Genomic DNA, 12,780 nt, shown 5'->3' with positions numbered 1-12,780 from the left:
TCTTTTCTGTTTTTTTTAATCTGTGTCTTACATAAGAAGGCTTTCTCCATTTCAGCATAATTTTTCTTAAATCTCCTATTTTTCCAATATTTTAAAGTTTAGGTTTTATGATTAGCTTTTTAATACCTCACCCATTTATTTTTGTGTTGGCACAAGGTTAAATTCCAACTTTATTTTTCAAAATGAATAGGTACTTTTCCCAACATTGTTCTGAACATCACCTCCCACTACCTGAAATGCCATTTTCATCAAAAACTAAAGTGCCATAAATTGATTTGTGTTTCTGGATCCTCTATTCTGTATTACTAATCTGTCACTTTTTGCACAAGTTTAATTCTTAAACTTGAGGACCATATTTTGATATCTGGTAGGGCAAGCCTCTCCTCCACTACTTATCAAAATGTTTCCCAGTTATTCTTATGCTTTTTCTCCCCCAGATTAATTTTAGTATATGTTTACCAAATTCTGGGGATTTTATTTGGATGGCAGTGACTCCAAAGACTGCCTTGGGGAGCACTGTCATCTTTACAATGTTGAGTAATTCCATTTTGGGTGTGTCTCTGTTTTCAGGGTTCAATTCTTGGTTTTTATAATAATGTTGTCATCATCATTTTATAGTTTTTTTCATTATTGCTCTTGCCCATTTCTTGTTAGGGTTATCATATCAGTATTCTTGGTGTTTTGTGCATTTTATTGTTGTGAATATGATTTGAATCTTTTATCCCTCTTGTTTTCTTAGTTATTTCTAGTATATAGAGAAGCTATTAATTTGTGGAGATTAATTTTGTGCCTAGCCATCTTACTGACCTATCTTATAGGATCCAACTATTTGTCAGTTGATTTGCTTGCACTTCCTAGCCAGGTTATATAAAATATTGTTCTTGATTTGGTTTAATGCATTTGACCTTGACATTGTTTCATCTGATACCAAAATGACCATACTTGCTCTTTTAGTCAAACTTTTCCTGGGAAATATTTTCCCATCTCTTTATTTCCAACCTTAATGTGTGTGCATGCGGTATGTGTGGGTTGTTTATTTGATTTAGATCTGTTTTTTAGGCCAGGCATGGTGGCTTACACCTGTAATCCCAGAACTTTGGGAGTCCGAGGTGGGTGAATCACCTGAGATCAGGAGTTTGAGACCAGCCTGGCCAACACGGCTAAACCCTATCTCTACTAAAAATACAGAAATTAGCCAGGCATGGTGGCACATGCCTGTAGTCCCAGCTACTCGGGAGGCTGAGGCAGAAGAATCGCTTGAACCCAGGAGGCAGAGGTGCAGAGGTTGCAGTGATCTGAGATTATGCCACTGCACTCCAGCCTGGGTGGAGTGAGACTCTGTCTCAAAAAAAAAAAAAAAAAAATCTGGTTTTTTTTTTGTTGTTGTTGTTGTTGTTATTTACTTTTTATTTCATAACCATAAACTTAACTCTGCAATCCAGCTAGACGTGGAAAGGAATAAGGAAAACATGGAACCCAAAGGGAACTGCAGCGAGAGCACAAAGATTCTAGGATACTACAAGCAAATGGGGTGGAGGGGTGCTCTCCTGAGCTACAGAAGGAATGGCGTGGTGGTTAAGAAAAAACACAAGTTGGCCAGGCATGGTGGCTCATTCCTTTAATCCCAGCACTTTGGGTGGCTGAGGCGGGTGGATCACCTGAGGTTAGGAGTTTGAGACCAGCCTGGCCAAAATGATGAAACCCCATCTCTACTAAAATTACAAAATTAGCCAGGCGTGCTGGCGCGTGCCTATAATCCCAGCTATTCCGGAGGCTGAGGCAGGAGAATCACTTGAACCCGGAGGCGGAGCTTGCAGTGAGCAGAGATGACACCATTGTACGCTAGCCTGGGAAACAAGAGTGAAACTCCATCTTAAAAAGAAAAAACACAAGTTAAATTCATTAGAGTTGTCCACAGTCAACAATGGTGATCTTGCTGGTCTTGCCATTCCTAGATCCAAAGCGCTCCATGGCCTCCACAATATTGATGCCTTCTTTCACCTTGCCAAAGACCACATGTGTGCCATCCAACCACTCAGTCTTGGCAGTGCAGAGGAAAAACTGGGAACCATTTGTGTTGGGTCCAGCATTTGCCATGGATAAGTAATTGGTTTGGGAATGTGAGGGTTCAGGACCTGTATGCTTCAGGATGAAGTTCTCGTCATCAAATTTCTCTCCATAGATGGACTTGCCACCAGTGCCATTATGGTGTGTGAAGTCACTGCCCTGACACATAAACCACATAAACCCTGGAATAATTCTGTAAAAGCAGAAACCCTTGTAACCAAATCCTTTCTCTCCAGTGCTCAGAGCACGAAAGTTTTCTGCTGTCTTTGGAAACTTGTCTGCATACAGCTCAAAGGAGACGTGGCACAAGGGCTCATCATTGACAGCCATGTTGAAGAACACGGTGGGGTTGACCATGGCTGATAGTATGGGGTTCCTGGCAGCATCTGCAAAGCCAAGATCTGTTTATTAAACAGGATTGTTGAAAATCAAATCTTAGAACATCTATCCATTCATTCATTCAACAAATATTAATTGAAGGACTCAGCAGTGAACAAACAATTACAATCCCTGCCTTCATAATGCTCACACTCCAGCATTTGACATACTCACCCCTTACTATGATCCCTGTTGTGTCTGGATTTATTCCTGACAGCTTGTTTTATGCTTTCTCTTTCCATGTGTTTTGTTATTTATTTTTTCCCCTCATTTGCCCTTTTTATTGGATTGGGATTTTTCCCCCTTTATTGGTTTGGAAATTACACATCCTATTTCTATTTTTTTAGTAGTTGTCGTTTTGACAAATTTTTGACAAATGAATAAAATTTAAATTTGCTATTCAGGCCTAGATTTACTATCTGTAGCTTCTCCCTAATGATATGAAACTCTTAGACACTAACAGCGTTTCCGTCCCACCATTCTCTCTGATGACATAGTAATTCAGAAGTTTAGTTCCAGACTACTGTGGAACTAAATTTGTACTATGCATCATGTTTGTTTAGATTAATCACAACTTTTGCTGATGACTTTGCTCAACATTATTTTGCATATTCCATAGTCTTACATCTTGAATCCATTTTTTCTTGTTGCTACAATTCATTCCCAAGAAATTCTTTCAGAAAACTTCTGTGAATGGAACACTTTCTGAGTCATTACACATTCTAAATATCTCTTTATTTTGCCCTCGCACTAGAATAATAGTGAATGGATATAGAATTCTAAGTTCAAAATTATATTCTAGGTTCAAAGTTCACATAGAACTTAGAAGAATTCTCTGTGTTATCTTCTTGTGTTCCGTGTGGCTGATGAGAAGTCTTGATGCCAATCTGATTTTCATTTCTTTGCAGGTGCATACTACAGGAACAACTCAACTGCCTTCAGCAAAGTATGGAATTTGGTGACTTATCCCTGGAAAGTCCAGAGGTGGAGCTGGCCTCAAGTATGGCTGAGTAGTTCAAATGGTGCCATTGGGGTTTTCTTCCATGTCTTGTGACTCTGTTTGTTATTTCTTTCTGTATGTTTGGCTCATTCTGTACTACTGCAACAAGCTTCCTCTGCAAGAAAGACAACTACATGCAGCTGTAGCCAACATCCCTGTGGCCACATAACCCCAAAGGAAAGAGACCAACTTCCCCATTAACACATGAAAATCCTGGGGAGGGCTTGGAGTGAGCCCTTTTTGGTGCCATGCCCATTCTGAGCTAATCACTGTAGCCAGAAAGTGGGATTCTCTGATTAGTCATGTGTGGGTTCTGGGCTTCTCCCTGTGGCCTGGGTTGGGGTGGTCCTGAAATTCATAGCCCCATCTGAATGACATATAGAGAGAAAAGAAAGAAAAGAAGGAGAAGGGAGGAAGGGAGGGAGGATGGCAGGACAGACATTCTTACTGGAAGAAAGGAGAGAAAAAAGCAAACAAGAAAGCTAAAACTGTAACTACTATTGTCCACTATAGTAAATGGAATTTCTTTTGCTCTCTGGAAACATTTCAAATTTTCTTTTCACCGGTATTTTCTGGTGTGGATCTTTTTATATTAGTTCCATTAGCTTTCAATGGCTCATTTTTTTTTTAATTCTTTTAGTATTTATTGATCATTCTTGGGTGTTTCTCGGAGAGGGGGATTTGGCAGGGTCACAGGACAATAGTGGAGGGAAGGTCAGCAGATAAACATGTGAACAAAGGTCTCTGGTTTTCCTAGGCAGAGGGCCCTGCTGCCTTCCGCAGTGTTTGTGTCCCTGGGTACTTGAGATTAGGGAGTGGTGATGACTCTTAACGAGTATGCTGCCTTCAAGCATCTGTTTAACAAAGCATATCTTGCACCGCCCTTAATCCATTTAACCCTTAGTGGACACAGCACATGTTTCAGAGAGCACGGGGTTGGGGGTAAGGTTATAGATTAACAGCATCCCAAGGCAGAAGAATTTTTCTTAGTACAGAACAAAATGGAGTCTCCTATGTCTACTTTTTTCTGCACAGACACAGTAACAATCTGATCTCTCTTTCTTTTCCCCACATTTCCCCCTTTTCTATTCGACAAAACCACCATCATCATCATGGCCCGTTCTCAATGAGCTGTTGGGTACACCTCCCAGACGGGGTGGCGGCCGGGCAGAGGGGCTCCTCACTTCCCAGACGGGGCAGCTGGGCAGAGGCGCCCCCCACCTCCCAGACGAGGCGGCTGCCGGGCAGAGGGGCTCCTTACTTCCCAGACGGGGTGGCCGGTCAGAGACGCTCCTCATCTCCCAGACGGGGTGGCGGTGGGGCAGAGACACTCCTCAGTTCCCAGACGGGGCCGCGGCTGGGCAGAGGCGCTCTTCACATCTCAGATGGGGTGGCGGGGCAGAGGCGCTCCCCACATCCCAGATGATGGGCGGCCGGGCAGAGACGCTCCTCACTTCCTAGACGGTATGAAGGCCGGGAAGAGGCGCTCCTCACTTCCCAGACTGGGCGGCGGGGCAGAGGGGCTCCTCACATCCCAGACGATCGGCAGCCAGGCAGAGACGCTCCTCACTTCCTAGACGGGGTGACGGCTGGGCAGAGGCTGCAATCTCGGCACTGTGGGAGGCCAAGGCAGGCGGCTGGGAGGTGGAGGTTGTAGCGAGCCGAGATCACGCCACTGCATTCCAGCCTGGGTAACATTGAGCACTGAGTGAGCGAGACTCCGTCTGCAATCCCGGCACCTTGGGAGGCAGAGGCTGGAAGATCACTTGTGGTCACAAGCTGGAGACCAGCCCGGCCAACACGGCGAAACCCCGTCTCCACCAAAAAATACAAAAACCAGTCAGGCATGGCGGCGGGCGCCTGCAATCCCAGGCACTGGGCAGGCTGAGGCAGGAGAATCAGGCAGGGAGGTTGCAGTGAGTCAAGGTGGCGGCAGTACAGTCCAGCCTCCGCTTGGTATCAGAGGGAGACCGTGCAAAGGGGAGAGGGAGGGGGAGGGGGAGAGGGAGAGGGAGCCAATGGCTCCTTTTAAATAAATGATTTTTGTCTCTCTTTAGCTTGAAGAAATATTTCCTCCATTATCTCCTTCCTGCCTCTGACTCTGTTCTCTGACTCTGGAATTCCTGTTCAATTGGTGTTTTGGGCCTTCCTGGACTGATCCTTTTTGTATTAACATTTCTTATATTTTTCATCTCCTTGTAGTTTTGCTCTACATTCTTTTTTTTCTAAGATAATTTATTATTGAATAAAGAAGTCACAAAGCAAAATGGAGTGGGACAGATGTCAAAGATAAATTGAAAACATAGTTTCTGTCAAATGTTATTATGGATTTCCTAAGTTTAGAAACAGGAGAAGTGCCAAATGAAAGTACTTGTTCAAATTAAGTCTTTTTAAAAGGTCTGTGACTTGAAAGGAAAATAACTTTTCACTAAAAATATTCTTATTACGTGAAAGCCATAATTTAAGAGACTGAGAAAAAAGCTTTTTAATTAACAAATAAACTGCATCTCCCAGATACACTTAGGAATATTTGTTTTTAATCAGTCGGTCTTAAAATCACTGCTTCCACATGACAAACTAACATGAATCGACTGTGGGTTGACATCATCTGATCCACACTGAAGTTTTCCATTTTTTGTCACACACTTCCTTTCCTGCAGCTTTCAGCAAAGCAGGTTTGGAGGGAAAGAGGATTAGAAAGAACTACAATTGGTTCCCTAGTGAATAACTCCTCTCAAAGTGCTAGGATTTCAGGCGTGAGCCACCATGCCTGGCCTATTTCTCTCCTCTTTCTATCTTTTATGAAGTCTGAAATTTCCTCGAGGGCACCTTGGTTATTTCCCTCCTAAGCCCTCCAGTCACTTCAGAGGCCCTCTCCTGCTGGACTGTTTCCTCTCCTGTGTGTTTTACCAGCCTCGCTGTTTGGCCAGAGGTTTAGTAAGAGTTGCAACTTGCCTTTCTAGTCTGAACGCAGCTCTCGTTAATTTCCTAACAGCTGCCCCAGGACTCTCTTCTTTACTGCATATGCTGAAGTTGAGCTCAGAGTTTCTCTCCTTCTACTCTTACTTCACAGTAGTCTTCTTCTAGGTGGGTTTTGTACGAAGGTTTTCTTAGCTCCTTCCAATCTCATTCATTTGAGGAATTTTTCTCAATTTCTGATTTTTAATCTCCTTTTACTGCATTGAGGAAATTGGAGAGAAAGAAAGCTGTGTTCCAAAGCACGCATAAATTTATTTTATATATTGAACTCCCCAAGTAGCACTACAAAGGCATCGGTTTGCTAGAATTTAATTTACATATAAGAGTGATGTGAACAAAATTTTTTATTATCATTATTTTTTTGAGACGGAGTCTCGCTGTGTCGCCCAGGATGGAGTGCAGTGGCGCGATCCCGGCTCACTGCAAGCTCCGCCTCCCAGGTTCACACCATTCTCCTTCCTCAGCCTCCGGAGTAGCTGGGGCCACAGGTGCCCACCACCACGCCCGGCTTTTTTTTTTTTTTTTTTTTTGTATTTTTAGTAGAGACAGGGTTTCACCGTGTTAGCCAGGATGGTCTGGATCTCCTGACCTCCTGATCCACCTGCCTCAGCCTCCAAAAGTGCTGGGATTACAGGCCTGAGCCACCACGCCTGGCCGAGATACTTTTTTTTTTTAAGTACATCCTCCCCACTACCTTTTTCATAATGGGTCTCTTTGAGAGGTGACAGCGTGCTGGCAGCCCTTGCAGCCCTCGCTCGCTCTGGGCGCCTCCTCGGCCTTGGTGCCCACTCTGGCCGTGCTTGAGGATCCCTTCAGCCCACCGCTGCACTGTGGGAGCCCCTTTCTGGGCTGGCCAAGGCCGGAGCCAGCTCCCTCAGCTTGCCGGGAGGTGTGGAAGGAGAGGCTCGGGCGGGAACCGGGGCTGCCCGCAGCGCTTGCGGGCCAGGGCGAGTTCCGGGTGGGCGTGGGCTTGGCGGCCCCGCCCTCAGAGTGGCGGCCGGCCCACAAGCCCTGGGCAGTGAGAGGCTTAGTACCTTGGCCACCAGCTGCTGTGCTCGATTTCTCGCCGGGCCTTAGCTGCCTCCCTGAGGGGCAGGGCTTAGGACCTGAGGCCCGCCATGCCTGAGCCTGCCCCCCCACCCCCGCCGCCGGCTCCTGGGCAGCCCGAGCCTCCCGGAGGAGCTCCGCTACCTGCTCCACAGCGCCCAGTCCCATCGACCGCCCAAGAGCTGAGGAGTGCGGGCGCATGCCCCGGAACTGGCAGGCAGCTCCACCTGCCGCCTGGTGCGGGTTCCACTGGGTGAAGCCAACTGGGATCCTGAGTGTGGTGGGGACTTGGAGAGTCTTTATGTCTAGCTAAATTGTAAATTTAGCTAGGGATTGTAAATACACCAATCAGCACTCTGTATCTAGCTCAAGGTTTGTTAACACACCAATCAGCACCCTGTGTCTAGCTCAGGGTTTGTGAATGCACCAATCAGCACTCTGTATCTAGTTAATCTGGTGGGGACTTGAAGAAACTTTATGTCTAGCTAAGGGATTGTGAATGCACCAATTGGCACTCTGTATCTAGCTCAAGGTTTGTAAATGCACCAATCAGCACTCTATGTCTAGCTCAGGGTTTGTAAATATACCAATGGACACTCTGTATCTACCTAATCTAGTGGGGACTTGGAGAACTTTTGTGTCTAGCTCAGGTATTGTAAAGGCACCAGTCAGCACCCTGTCAAAATGGACAAATCAGCTCTCTGTAAAAGAGACCAATCGGCTCTCTGTAAAATGGACCAATCAGCAGGATGTGGGTGGGGCCAGATAAGAGTAAAAGCAGGGTGCCCGACCTAGCAGTGGCAACCAGCTGGGGTCCATTTCCACCCTGTGGAATCTTTGTTCTTTCGCTTTTTGCAATAAATCTTGCTGCTGCCCGCTGTGTGGGTCCACACTGCCTTTATGAGCTGTAATACTCATTGCAAAGGTCTGCAGCTTCACTCTTGAAGCCAGTGAGATCACGAACCCACGGGGAGAAATGAACAACTCCAGACACGCTGCCTTAAGAGCTGTAACACTCACTGTGAAGGTCTGCAGCTTCACTCCTGAGCCAGCGAGACCACCAACCCACCAAAAGGAAGAAACTCTGAACACATCTAAACATCAGAAGGAACAAACTCCAGACACACCGCCTTTAAGAACTGTAACACTCACCGCAAGGGTTCTCGACTTCATTCTTGAAGTCAGTGAGACCAATAACCCACCAATTCTGGACACACTTTCATACTCTAGGAAGAAGTCAACTCCCTGGAACAGTGGCTCCTGTAACTGCATCTAAAATAGGTTCCCTCCTTTCCCACCCATATTTTCTAATTCAATATTCTGTTTCCTCGCTTAACACAACTTGTAATTATTTTGTTTACTGTTGGGTATTTTTGTTTGTTTTTGTTTTTATCTGTCTTCCCGACTAAATTGTAGGCTACAGGAGAGAAACATTTCTTACATCAGCCTCTATTTGTTAAACTTACTTAAACCATAGTGTTATTAAGAAGTAGACTGGGCACGCTGGTGGCTCGTGCCTATAATCTCAGGAGTTTGGGAGGCTGAGGTAGGTGGCTCATTTGAGTCCAGGGCAACATGGCAAAGCCTCGCCTCTACAAAAAATACAAAAAAATGATCTGGGCATGGTCACACGAACCTGAGTGCTTGGAGTCCCAGCTACTCAAGAGGCTGAGATGGGAGGATCTCTTGAGCCCAAGAGGCAGAGGTTTCAGGGAGCCAAGATTGCACCACTGCATTCCAGCCTGGGTGACAGACAAAGCGAGACTCTGTCTCAAAAATGAAAATAAAAAAAGGTAAAGTAATTTTCCCCAAGCCAACAGTGAAATATTCAAGGTTAGGAAAAGAAGGGAGATGTAAAAGCAAACAACCTGGAAAATCCTCACACTGTATATCATTTCATAAACAATCAAAAGTTAAATGTTGAACCAGAGATCTCACTTCTGTGTTCTCTACACATTCTCTTCTCAAGAAACGGCTTTCCCAGCCTTCTGCTGAAACCTCTGGCCAAAGATAATTGATCTAAAAGAGGCCACCTGATTGGACCAATTTGGTCAAATAACCATCTTTAGAATAATCCTATTGGTCAATCAGAATTGCTTATTGGGGGAATTTGGCTTGGGGATTCTGGGATTCTCTGAAGATCAGGGAAGAGGCAGAAATGCTTGGTGCATGTGTGACTTAAGAAAACCACTCAGCCGAGAAGAGAAAAATAAGCTGACAGAGGGAAGCAGGACCCTGAGGCCTCTTGGTGGCTTTCAGTTCAGGAACTGAGCCCCATTCAGCCCCATGGGAGCCCCACTGTTGTCTCTGCCCCTGGACTCTGTGAGACAAATTTTTCTTTTTGCCTAAACCAACTTGAGCAAATTGTGGCCAAACAGCCCCTGATGAAGGCAAGTGTAAATTGTTATTTCTCACCTCTTCGTGTGTGTGTTGTGTGTGTGCGTGTACTGAGGGAGGGACTATTTGACCTTATTCCCAAGGCCTTCCCCTTGGTATATGGAGATGATAAATTCTTTCTTACAATTAGGTCATGTGTTACACACCAGCAGCATAAGCCATGGGGTATCATTTCTGAGACACCCCAAAAGCCCTTTGCGTTCTCTAAACTCCTCCTACTCTTAAAATTGTACCATTTCCATTTAATACTTGGGCTTAAATCTTGTCTTCCTGAAACACTGTTTCCTGGTAAACAGGTTCCTTATAAGCAGAGACTGGCCCTATTCATATTTGAGTTCTCACTGCACATAGACTGGTATAAGAGTGGAACCTGGCAGGAACTCCAGTTGGAATAAATGAATCAAATGGGAAAATATGGTGAGGAGGGAAAGTCGTGGGTGCCACACTCAGACGTCCTCAACTTCACCATTTTGGGCTCAACTAATTTCAATCCTAGGTGAGTTGTAAGATGACAGTTACAAAGAATTGAAAATTCCTGAACTGGGTGACAGACTCTACATCTGTCTTTGCAGTTTCCATTTACTTTTACAAGCATTAATGCCACCTGGCCAGATTCATTTAAATGAAGAGGAGCAGAAACGTTTATGTGCACAAGGGAATGGAAAGGCATAGAGGGGGAAGAAAAGAAAAAGAAAATTGCCGGGCAGAAAGGTGGAGTTATCTCAATGTCTCCCTCCTGCTTTCTCTCTTCACCACCCTTGCTCTATTTCATAAGTTTTATTGCCATCTTGACATTATCTAAATTATGATTTGAAATTCATTCAAGCAGACTAACTCGTGGTTATATTTGTAAAATTTGAAAAAACAAATTTAATTTCTTTCTTCAGGAAAAAACGAGTCTGATAAATACAACTAAGGGACTGTTCATGTGCACCCAGTGACTGGAACAAGCAGATGCATGTTTTTAATATCCATTCTCATAAAAGCCTGGAGGTTAGCCTCTCAACAGCACCCTGCAGGATTCCACACCATCTTTTCAAAGCACTTCACTAATGAGCTGCCATCATTTGTGCAAACAGCCTTGTGAGAAGGAGGAGGTTGTAGCTGTTCCATTTACAAATGAGAAGAGTGAGGTTTGAGGAAAGTAGACGAGTTTTCCCAACTGTGCAGTAAACCCAGATAGGGCTCGAAGCTCTGAGCTCCCTGCACTTGATCCCATGAGCTAGGTTACTATTTGAAATGAGACTCCTTCAGACAACGAATTCTTAGATTCTGATGTCACTAAAATGGGGTAGAATGAAGAGAGAAATTCCACAAATGGAGATAGACTTAAAGCATATGATATACAACATCCATGGACTTACATCCAAGGCAAATATGCAATTTTTTTTCACATGGCTCATGGACAAAGGCTTTAAGAAAAATAATAGCAGTCTCAGGAATCATGTTCTTCCTAACAAACATGAGCGGCACACTATTCTATGTGGATGTAGGCCCAAGGAGTATTTCTGTATGCTATTCTGGGTCCAGCACAGGATATGAGTTTAATTGGAACTGTTTTAATTCACATCTGGAATTTTCCAAAGAATAGCTCATTGACTAATTGGCCCCTTGAGTTAACAAATGGTTGCTATTTTGATGACTGAGTTTTTTTTATCTGTAACAACTTTTTTTACTCCGTTCAGTTCAACATACATTTATTGGGCAAGCAACAATGCTGGATATTGGGCAAGGCAAGGAAGGATAGAGAAGTTGGGGAACAAAGATAAATAATATGCAGTCTGTTGCCTCCAGAAACATAAAGCCTATTTGCATAAATAACTGATTTAATTATAAGGCAAATGGAATTTGATACTATAAAGGAGGCAAAGATATGCGAAGGCAGAGGAAGAAATAATGAGTGTTATAAAAGGTAATCAAAAGGGGCAAGAGGCAGGGAATTACAAGGCTTCATGAAGGAGGCAGCCTCTGAGCTAGGCCATGTAGAATGCATACAATGTCAATAGGTGAAGGAGAAAAGAGAATTCTAGGCAGAGGGAACAGGACAGAAAAGACACAGATGGAAGTAGAAAGGCTATGAGTGACTAAGTTGGAAGTGTAGGTTGAGGTCAGGTTGTGAAGGACCTTGAATTGAGTTCTGCAGGCAGTAAGGAGTCACCAAAGATTTTTGAGTAAGGGAGCCAAGTGCTCCCCTGCCAGCCTGAAACAACTGGGTTACTTCTAAGAAGCAATGAACTATTAGCTGATGTAAATCATGCTATTTGGGGGCCTCTTTGCTGCATCAGCTTAGCCTTACCCTAACCAATAAAAAGGCCCTCATTTTACAAATGAGGAACCTGAAGCTTAGAGGAGACAAGTGACTTAACCAGCATCATGTTACCATAACTCTACCACGTAGAACCAGGGCCAGACAGGAAATCTGGGCCTAGATATTCCATAGCCCCAAAAGATGTGATGATGGTGGCGGTGGTGGCAGTGGTGATGGTAATATGATGGTGATGATGGAGATTTTTTGTTTTCGATAAACTGGTGTTTCAAGGTTTTGTTTTTATACCTCTTCTTTACATTTTTCTATTTTTTAATGTAAAAGCATGGAACAGATTCGCCATATAATCATTTTAATCAATTTTCTGCGGTGATAACTTCCCTGCAACTTAATTGGCAAAGTTGTTTCCCAGACTAAAAGTACTATGGCATCATCTAAAAGTCACCTCAAAGAGACAGAACAATTCATTAAAAACCACTAATGTCTGCAGGGTTTAAAGATGTTAAGTGTTCATTTGGAGAATGAGAAATCAACGCACATTGACTTTTGCCATCCGGGTTTGTCACGCTCTGTGTCCGTGGGATGACTCACATTGCTAAAGCCCAAGTTTAATTAACATGCTTATTCTGTGCCGCTACTTCCATTC

General features: G+C 44.1%; 1 pseudogene; it reads right to left on the bottom strand.

Annotated features, from left to right (window-relative positions):
* PPIAP26 (peptidylprolyl isomerase A pseudogene 26) lies at positions 1,393-2,460 on the bottom strand (annotated as a pseudogene).

Source organism: Homo sapiens, chromosome 13, assembly GCF_000001405.40.
Source record: "Homo sapiens chromosome 13, GRCh38.p14 Primary Assembly".
In the NCBI taxonomy this organism is placed as follows: Eukaryota; Metazoa; Chordata; class Mammalia; order Primates; family Hominidae; genus Homo; species Homo sapiens.
The sequence above is the reverse complement of the archived record's forward strand: the minus strand, read 5'-3'. Positions and strand labels throughout refer to the sequence as shown.